General features: G+C 37.5%; 1 pseudogene, besides 1 other annotated feature; it reads left to right on the top strand.

Annotated features, from left to right (window-relative positions):
* On the top strand, positions 6,360 to 6,861 carry LOC100420955 (scavenger receptor class B member 1 pseudogene; annotated as a pseudogene).
* Positions 9,952 to 10,452: an enhancer, noted in NCBI's record as "H3K27ac hESC enhancer chrX:97599907-97600407 (GRCh37/hg19 assembly coordinates)". NCBI's record gives its function as "activates a minimal SCP1, AML or CMV promoter by ChIP-STARR-seq in naive and primed H9 embryonic stem cells {active_cell/tissue: H9 hESC(naive and primed)}" and the evidence as "EXISTENCE:reporter gene assay evidence [ECO:0000049][PMID:30033119]".

Genomic DNA, 11,061 nt, shown 5'->3' with positions numbered 1-11,061 from the left:
TATCAATTTACCGGCTGAAGGGCATTTTAGTTGCTTCCAAATTCTAGAAATTACGAAGAAAGCTGCTATAAACATCCATGTATAGGTTTTTTTGTGGACATAAGTTATCATTTCACGTGGGTAAATTGCAAGAAGCATGATTGCTGGATTGTATGGTAAGGGGACGTTTAGTTTTGTAAGAAACTGCCAAACTGTCTTCCAAAGTGACTGCACCATTGTGTATTTCTACCAGCAATGAATAAGAATTCCTGCTGCTTCACATCCTCTTCAGTATTTGGTGTTGTCAGTGTTCTGGATTTTGGCCATTCTAATAAGTGTGTAGTGGTGTCTCATTGTTTGAATTTGTATTTCCCTAATGACATATAATATTGAACATCTTTACATATACTTACTTACCATTTGTATATTTTCTTTAATGAGATGTCTGTTCAAACCTTTTGCCTATTTTTTAATCAGGTTGTTTAACAATTTCATTTATTGTTGAGTTTTAAGGATTCTTTGCATATTTTGGATAACAATCCTTTGTCAGATTTTTTTTACAAATATTTTCTCACAGTCTGTGGCTTGTCTTCTCATTCTTTTGATACTGTCTTTCATAGAGCAGAAGTTTTTAATTTAAATTTTTCTAGTTTTCTAAAGTGGAAGCCTAGGTTATTAATTTTAATTATTCTCCTTTTCTAATAAAGGCATGCAATGCTATCAATTTCCCTCTAAGTACTGCTTTTGCCATACCTCACAAATGTTGGTAAGTTTTATTTTTAGTTTTCATTTAGTTCAGACTACTTTTAAATATATCTTGAGATTTCTCCTTTGAACAATGTCTTTTTTATAAGTATGTTGTCTAATCTCCAAATATTTTTGGATTTTCTTGCTTTTTTTTTTTTGTAATTGATTTTTAGGTAAATTCCATTGTGTAGGAGTTCCCGATGACTGGTTCCTTCTGGAGTTTTTAATTCTCAGACTTGTCCACAGTGAATCTCAAACAATTCATCAATTACAGTTCAGGTTTTCCTACCCAGGCATTGGCTCCTGAGGAGATTTCTGCTCACGGATTTTCCTCTGTTAAATTATTATTGTCTATATCTGTTTGTCCGTCTTTCCAATTTTGGGGGCACCAGGTTTACTCTGTGACCTCACTTCTCTGACGGATCTAAGAAGAGTTGTTGATTTATTAGTTTGTTCATTCTTTTTACTCGTTGTTAGAATGGCATGGCTACTGGAATGGCGACTTCTAAGTTCCTTACATGCCAGACCAGAAACCGGAAGTCTGGATGTTACTTTTTGTTTTCATTTTCAAAGAACTTCCAAATAGAATCTTTTGTTTGATCCATTTGGCAATGATACTGAATTGAGCTAAATATTGTAGATAGCACTTAGCATCCAAGGAAAGAAAACTCACCAGAAGGCATAGATTATGTGCTTACACAGTGAAGGTTAGCTCCTGAAAGTATAGAATAGGGTGCTTTCAGCTTCAGCATGATAGCTTTTATGGCAAAAACCTCTTGCAGTCTCCAGAGGTATTGCAAATGATCCACAGGTGTAGATGGTTTGAGGCAACAGATGGGTTCTTGAACATTTGTGTGCAAATTGAATTTTTTTAATTGAATCTGATTTAGAATTCATTTTAGGAGAGCTATATATTTAAAGTAGCCCTTTGGTGAATTCTTTTGTGAAATGAATAATTACTTCCTAATTTATCTTTTTTGAAAATGCAAAGTTTTATATGTGGTACTTTCTTAAAGTTAAGTACCAATTCTAGGCCTGTGTAGGAAGCATAGTATACTCATGGCTCTTGGTAACAATATAGCTCATTTTTCTATAATATGACAATATGCTGAGTATAAATAACTGAATATATCTTATATGCAGTGTTATGTTTGGAAACAGAAGTGGCCTAGAATTATGGGCTTGAAGAATAATAGCAATTTGAAGAAGTCTAAATAAACTGAATGTTCAGTCAGCATTGACTAACTTAATGTTAATAATGCAGATTGAAATGACACTGCACTAATTATTCTGATTCTACGGGTCATTAGATCTATATATATAGGGCCCAGGGATGTGAATTTTTGGCAAACGTTCTGCACTGTCTAATATAGTAGTAGTCATTAACTACTTGTGGCTATTTAAATTTAAGTTAATTAAAATTAAATTATATTTCTCTGTGGCATTAGTCACATTTCAAGTGCTCAATAGCCACATGTGGCTAGTGGGTACTATACTAGATAGCACAGATTATAATGTGTTTCCATCATCTTGGAATGTTCTATTCAACAGCAATGTAGTGATTTTAATAACAGGCAATATTGGGAAACAACAGTTTAATTACAAAAGGACTCTTCTCAGAGAGAGGATCTTGAAGCCCTGGTTGTAGGCCCCACCAGAGGTAACTTTCTGTAATATTAGTTTATTTGTTGCTATAGGCGCCATAGAGAGCCACTGTGCTGAGAAGTAAAAAGTCTTATCTCTCTCAATGTTAACCTTTATCATATAAATAATAACTTCATGCTTCTGCCTTATAGGTATGACTTTAAATGAAAAGAGGGGTTTTCATTGACCACAAATGAAAATCAGTTTTATTACTTTAGAAGCACACCTCAAAGACTGCATAAGCAACTGTGTACTTTCTGTAGAGGGTGCAAATAGAATTGATAAATTCCAAGTCAAGTAATAAATTTCAGCTGGTGATATTTTCCTAGGATAAATTTAGTAGAAGGCAGGAAATGTGTTATTGAATTCATATGTTATATTAAAAGATATTATAGAACCTCAGAAAGTGCTCAGCATTTATAGCTCAGAAGAACTTTGGTACAAAGAACTGGTATCCTTTCCTTCTTTCTGTAATAAATTAGTAAATGAAACAAAAGCCTCTAATGTAACAGTTCTGTGCCTCAATTTCTCTCCCTATAAAATAGGAACAATAATGGTTACCACTTTATTGGAGTGTTGTGTGGATGAAATAAGATATGATAAAATCACTTGGAACAGTACTACCTACACAAAGGCTTAATAAATTTTAGCCATCGGTTTGTTAATATTATCATCAACAACATCACAGAGTTATTCATGCACCTGGGAATAGAACTGGACTTGCTAACATTTTAGTCCATCTGTTTGTATTGTGTTGTTTCAAATTATACTCTACCATGTTCCATAATATTTAATAGACTCACTTAGAGTGCCTGGGATCTGGGATGTCTCTGGCATAGCAGGAACTGCCTGAAAAACCCATTTTTGTCCTGTGCTTTTTATTCTCCAGTTCAGTCAACCTAAATCTTCAAAGAACTTGAGAAAACTGAAGACCTAGAAATGGATCAGGCCTTGAGACTCTGAAGGAATTCGCAAGTATTCAAAAAAGTAAAACTATCTCTATTTCTAGTTGTCTATTTTGGAAAAAAAATTTAACAGACTGCTCTATTTACAGTAAATATCTAAATATGAAATGACAAAAATAATAATATTTTTTTCTTTTTTAAATTCAGTCCACTGATGACCCCTGACAGGTAGGACTTTGGACTAAATGTCACTTTCTTGGTTTGAGTATCTACCAGAAATTTCAGTGTTTCTGACAAGGATTACATTTTCAGTATGGTTATTCTTTGACTTGTTGTTTATCAAGCCTCTAGCTAGTAGTTCATCTTGCACTTGTGTGTTATAGTCATCGTTTCTTGTTGAGGTCAGTGATTCTGACAGGATGTGTATTTTTCACTCTCTAATATATAAATTTACATAGTAGCATATCTGACTGGGAAGAAGGATCATGTATTGTTATGGTTTTGATGGGTAAACCTTTGTAAAGAGTCAAGTTCTTTGAGCCTAGATTGAATAAGTCCACTGGGCTTCCAGTAAAACAGATCAAAAACCAAAGGAAAATAACCATATTATAGAGTAGATTGTAATTTAGTCATTTAAAAATAATTAAACCCTCACAATCAAAATACATTTAAAGATCAGGTAATTCAAAGTAGTGTGTTCTGAATAGCCTCCCAAGGAACCATTTTGTGAGATACATAAAAGACTGCTTTGTTTCAAACATTTCTCATCTCCTGTTGAGCCATGACTAAAGATCTTGATTTTGCATGTTCTCTAGGAGTCACCTCCCACTCATCACTTGGCTGATCTTATGGTCCCCTTTTCCACCCACCTCAGTCTTTGCATGGGCTTTCCCTACTACTTTTTAATGCCTCCCTTCTGTTCCATCACAAAGCCCACATTTTATTGCTTTCTCTGCTAAAGCCTTTAACACCTCCTTTGTCCCAGCCAATTACTGAAGAAGCAAGTTAATTGGGAATGTAAAATACTGGGAACACAAGGATTTTTTCTTAAGCCTTTCTCTAACCCCCTCCCTACCCAACCCCTGACTAGTTTTACCAGTAATAGCCTCATTGGAAATCCCTGCTCTCTCTTCCTTCTTTATGGACAAGTTAGAATAGTATGTGTTTGCCTTTCTAGCACTGTCTTGTTGCAGGCTGAAACAACGGAAAGCATTTTAAAGAGGTCCATTTAGAGGGCAGTCATCAAAGAAAGATCCATTTGAATTCACTCTTTCACCTGCACTATTCCCAAACTGGGCTTGGGTTGGGATGAGAATCATTCAGAAGCATATTAATAACCCCAGAATCAGAATCTGTAGAGTGGTGCCTTAGGTATCTGATTCTTTTCAAAGTGTTCCAGGTAGACTTGATTGTCCATGGGCAGACATTTAGGAACTCACTGGTGCCTGCCTCCTACATTCCCTCTTAAATATTGTTGTGGTAGAAGAGAAAGTTCTGGGCTGATTAGTAATGCTTTTGTGTGCTGATACTCCCTCAAGTCAGCACAGATAATTGAGGAGTTCATTTATTAACTTTTGTAAATTATCATAATAGAACACAAAAGGCCCCAAGCAAAAAAGGAAGATGGGATTCTTGTCTAACAGAAGATTTGTTTGTATCTTATTCAGTTTAGCAATGAAGAAAAGAAAATGAGAAAAACACTGTCAGTGCAAAAGCAGAAAGGTCACAACAACCAGACTGCTGATGAAAACAGGCTGCTATTGTACTTAGCCAAATTCAGATTGCTTTTACCATAGAACTACTTATATAATTTTAATCTTTTTTTCTGACTTCTGTTTGTGTTCAGTTATCTTCCTTTTAAGTTATCAGGCAGCACACTTGGGGAAGTTTGCCTGTGTGTTATATCTGCATTAAAAACATTACTCTCATCCAGTACACTTGCCTACTGTTAAAAGATAATTTTCAAAAATAAAAATTATGACTCTTTCACAGATATAAAGTGACATGTGTTAGTGATTTCAAGTCATTATTAATGAGAGAATCTGGCAACTTTTACAGTGGGTACAAAGACACATGTATAGATCTAGAATATTGAAATGAACTTGCAAATGGGGGTAAACTTTTTTTTTTTTTTTTTTTTTTTTTTGGCAGAGGTGGCCTCCCTCTTCTGGATAGAATTCACTTCCACATCCATAGACAAGAATCATTTGCATTATTGCCATCAGTTCCTTAAAATTTAGAGTTGTACAATGGCTCAAGGGCAATCAAAGGTTAGAACCTGATAATCTAAAAGGGTGTGCTCTAAACAATGCCTCGTTTTCACTAAAGCACAAAATTTTCCCTATACTAATGAAGAGTATGTAATAACTCCCTATTGCTATTAAATTCGAACTTCTGTGCTTGACTTTCAAGCCTGTCCTGAACTTGTTTACTTTATGCTATTCCCTTGATTTATCATGTTCTCTTTTCTGACTTCCAATTTTTAAAATCCTATTTTTAGATAACTTTAATTTGATTATAAAATCAATAATTTCACACATTCGGGAATTTAGTAAAATACAGAAAAAAATTTAAAGACATTGAAAATGACTGATAATTCTACCACATCTGGAGGAAGAGATACGCCAAAACGATTGTTAAATAAAATTTATAGGAGACCATAGATTTGGACTGAGCTCTTAACACTAGTCTCCAATAGACCAGACCAAAATGAAGTCACTCATGCTAAAATTCCAGGTCACCAAACCGAAACTAAGTTGTTTATCTGTTTACATTCCAAGAAATCTGGAGAGATAATGGCCAAATCCCGAACAGATCTGTTTTAGCCAGCATGAAAAGGAAGTCCTCTCTGCTTTAACCCTTACAAGAAAAGTAACCTGGAGTAATCTCATGTTAACCAATCCCCTTTTTGTATTATGCTGTTTCCTTGCTCCTGCTCAAGCTACCTTATGAAAACTGACTGTTATTTCATGCCCAGCATTGTGCCTCTCTACTTTTAGATGAGATGCTAGCCAATTCATGAATTGCAAATAAAAACAAATTAGCTCATTTAACTAAATTTGTTGAAATTTTATATTTTGACACTATTAATTGTCAAAGAAGTTTGGAGGCATTTTCACCTAATATTCCAAAGCTCTCAACATCGAATTTGCCAATGGTTCTACCCACCTATCAAATGAAGATTCCACCCTTGACTTTGGCCTTGATTTCAGAAAGTTAACACCTGCCAACTCACTGTGCTCTTTTTTAACTTTAAGCAATATTTCTACAATGCAAACTTAGTCTTTATGTTCTATCCTAACAAAGAAGAATACTCCTTGTTCTTCTATAGCCACACATCAGTGGCATTCCCACATGCTTCTTTATGAAACTGCAGCTGAGCTTCTACATAAAGGGCATCAAAGGCATTCAGGAAATTGGGAACACTGAACCAGTTTTTCTCCATTTTCTTTGGTTTGGTAACAGCAGGTAAATGGAGGATGAGATATTCCAGGGGTTTTACACAAAGTTGTTGCTGATGCTCAAAGTCCTGCACTATGCCTAGTGTGTCTTTCTTTCCTTAGGGTGCAGACTGCTAGTCAATGCCATGTTCTTTAATCTTAGATCCAGAATCTTAAAGATAACATGGGTCAGTAGCCTTCCTACACCCACATCTTCAAGACTTTCAGTGGACAACCCAACAGTCACAAAGCTGGAGAGACCACTAACCTCAAATACAGGAGCCAATGACACATTGCCAACAGATGAACACATACATAAGATGCATGCTTGGCCCTCATTGGTGGTTCAATGTTTAACGAGTGACTCTATTAAAACAAAAATTCATAAATGATTGATTTGATTTGTAGCATCTGCCAATTTTCATGATATAAACTCACCATGGTTGATTTTAAGCTACTACCATGGTATTACTGAACATGGAGTTGGGAAGAGATTTGTGCTGAATAGCTTATTGCAAGGAAGTAGGAGCCAGCTTTCGCACATCACTGCCTCCTGCCCACCACCACCACCCACACAGAGGCCTATGCATGGAGGACACCTGGCCAGAGCTAGCTTCAGAAAGAGCCACACTAACAGTAGCTGGCTTCGGATGATCTCCCCAAGTAACCCACAAGCCTTTTGTGGCTAGTGGGCCTTAAATGATCATATTCTCTCTCCTTCCTCGTGCCCTTTGAGTTGGACCTAGGTCACCTTGTACAAGTATTCTAGCCCAACTATACAATGATGCCAATAGGCCAGAGCCAATTTCCTTCCACACCATCATAAAATATATCCTGGGAAAACTCCACTCCAATGGGACCCTTGTATTCTGAGGCTCTCTGGAGCTAAGAGGGTTCCACTAGACATAAAAACCTATTATCAGGGTTCAAATTTTCTTTGTGGAAGGCCAAGTGGTCATATAGACATGGACTTATGCAGACTCAGGGAGAGGTCTTAATAAGCTATTTTTATTTTTTCATAGCTTTATAAAAGTATAATTTACCTACTGAATAATTTGCTCATTTTAAGTGTATAATTCAATAATTTTTAGAAAATGTACAGAGTTGTACAGCCATTACTATGATCTAATTTTAGAACATTCCATCACCTCAAATAGAAACCCCATACCCTTAAGCAGTTATTCACATTCCTGATACCACCCACCAAAACCACCATCCCATCCCCACCTCTAAGTAATCATTTTCTGTCTCTATAGATTAGCCTATTATGGACATATCATATAAATGGATTTATCCAATAAAACCTGTTGCATGTGGCTTCTTTCACTTACCATAATGTTTTACAGATTCATGCATGCCATAGCATGTATCATTGCTTCTTTTTATTGCTGAGTAATATTCCATTTTATGGATATATTGCATTTTAAAAATTCATTCAGAAGTTGAATATCTGTGATTTTTTTTTTGACTTTTTGGCTTCTATGAATAAAGCCACTATGAACAGTAGCGTGCAAGCTTTTATGCAGACACATCTTTTTGTTTCTGTTGGGTAGGTACCCAGGATTTCAGTTGTTGGGCCGGAGGCTGCTTTTATGCCTATCTGACCAGGACCAAGAATACCTTCAGAATGATCTCAGAAAATGATTCAAATAATACATTGATGCTGTCTCATCCATATCAGGTTCTCAGTTGCCTCCCCCTCCACCTGTCTGTATCCCTTCTACAGCTTCTCTTTTTTCCTACTTTGTTTCCCCTGGCCATCCAAGCAAGAGTTGTTCTCCAGAATCTCACCTTGCACTTATTTTAGAGTCAGTTGTATTTTCACCTATTTGATATTTTTCCTGCCTTAACTCAACATTATCTATCCTAGATTAGCTGAGCTTGCCATTTCATGTAGTGGGTGGTGATAAGACTCTTAAGGTATCTTCTACAGGCTCTCTTTGATATAAGGAGTCCTCAGGAGAGGATGGAGGAACTTGGATAGCCAGCAGCTACTGTATGTGCTTTCTTGGAAATAAGACAACCTCTGCTGTAACTTTTCTGGTCTCTGAGGCAAGTGTCTGTATTACTCTTTTTCTACTAGAAATATAATACATTTTATTGACTTTTAAAGAGTCTTTGTTGAAATGATCTTTATAAATACAGTATAAAGTTGTGTATTATCCTTTTTATTGACAACAATATAAGTATTTTTCAATCATGAGTAGTTCTTCAAAAACTTCATTTCAATAGCTGCATACTATTCCCATGTATTCCTCTACTATAATTTATTTGATCATTTCTCTATTTGAGACGCATTCAGGATTTTTCACTGTTACAAGGTGTGCTAAGATGTATTTGGCTGCATTTTTAATTTCTTTGGTTGGATTCTTATTGGATTCACTGAGACCAAGGATGTGAATATTTTTGAAGCTTGTATTCCTGATTTCAAGGCCAAATTTAATTCGACCTCTACCATAAAGGCTTCTCTGGCCACTCTAGCCCAGTGATCCACCTTTTTCTCTGAACCAATTGTGCTTATAGCTATTAGCACATGTGAATTTCATTTAATTTTTCCCTAATTATTCATTTTCTTTTGTTTTTGCATTAATGGTTATACTGCAAACTCCACAAGAATGCAGACCATGCTCTGTATTTTATTTGAATTATTCACAGAATTTTCTTCCAGTTGCATGAAAAGAGAAATAGTATTCTCAGTCCCTCAGAAAACAAGCATTTCAAAGGACAAGTGACACTCTTCTAAACACAGAAAATATGAATTTGTTGACATTATAGCTCATTTGAGTCTGCTCTCTTAACCTTCTAAGTTTGATAACCCTATTTCTTCAATTATTGGATTTGCATATTGTAGTAACACTAGACAAGCTTAGATTTTATGTTATAACCACTTCTTCTCTAGCCTATGACCTTTTGTACTTGAATTAGTAGAATAGATCTACCTAATCCTTTCTGTAACTAAAATGTACACCCTTCCAAACATCCTGAGTTGTTTTCATTAACCCTAAGAAAGAGTCAAAACAGTATATAATAGCATAAACCTCATGTTGACTGCTGTCCTTGATTTACTAAACAGTCAAATGTGAGATTTTTTTTTTTTAGTCAAGCATACTAGAAAGATCAGAGATCTAGAAAGTAAGAAACATGGGAAGGGGGTGCCTCAAGGTAGCTGGCTAGAAGCATCTGGTACTCACCTACTTCACAAAGAAGAACCAAAACAGTGAGTAGACAATCGCAGTCCAAATAGATCATCTAAGAGAACTCCAGAACTCAACAGAGAAGTGACAGGAAATACCTAAAACGAAAAAGCCGAGGGAAGTAAGACAGTCTGCTCAGCTGAGATTAGCTGGGAGCCCAAAGTAGCTTCCCAATGCGGAGAAAGAGTAAGCAAGAGACCCCAGAAGATTCACATTCACACTGTGGACTCCTGGAATTCTAACCATAGGAGAGCCACTCAACCCTTGCAGGCTCTGAGAGTAACATAGAAAGCTGCCTGGAGACTGCATGAAGGCATTGCTCCAGAGAAGGAGCTCACACTGGGTCCCACACACCCCGAGTCTTAAGCAACTACAGCACAGCACCATTTTGAAAGCCCAGCCCCAACCAGACTGCATTCAGCCATGGGGCTCAACAGCTCTGTATCTCCACATCCCTAGAGCCCCATTGACATCCCCTGCCTGCAGCCACTGACACTGTTGGCTGCAGCTGCCAGGGCCAAAGCACAACACATTCACAATGACCCCACAGTCCCTGGCAGCAAGGCCACCACACATTTTCATGTGCCCTGAGGACAAACTCCCCCTACCTGCAGACTGCTGCCACTGAGTACCAAAGCATGCTCCACTGGCAGTGACCCTGCTCCCCCTTTGCCAGCACAGGGGCTGCTGTGCATTTACAAGTGCTCCAAAGTTGGGCTTCACTGCTCGCAGTCACAACAGGGGCTAAAGCATGTATCCCCAGCTGTCTGTCTATGGCTACTGACACTGAAAGCAATTCTGCCTTCCCCAGGATCAAGGCTATAGTATAGCCACTACCACCCATACCCAATCACTCCACCAGGAGCTTGGGGATCACCCCATCCCTTCCCACCTTAGTCAGCACCCAAAAGCTGGCTGGCTTGAGGACAGGTCCATCATACCTGACTTTGAGTCCCCACCTTCTACCCAGTGTCTGAGCATGTTGTCCGGGAGCCTGGGGACTGTTTTGTCCAGTCTATCACTGTTGGCACCTCAGCACTCCTCTTGGGGCCTTGAAGACAGGCCCACCCAACCTGAAACTACCACCACAGCTGGCACCCAACTACATGCACCACTTGCAAGCCCAGGGCCTGGCCCTGCAAGCTCATCACA

Source organism: Homo sapiens, chromosome X, assembly GCF_000001405.40.
Source record: "Homo sapiens chromosome X, GRCh38.p14 Primary Assembly".
Classification (NCBI taxonomy): Eukaryota; Metazoa; Chordata; class Mammalia; order Primates; family Hominidae; genus Homo; species Homo sapiens.
Note: the sequence above shows the minus strand (reverse complement) of the source record. Positions and strands in the feature narration are given on the sequence as shown.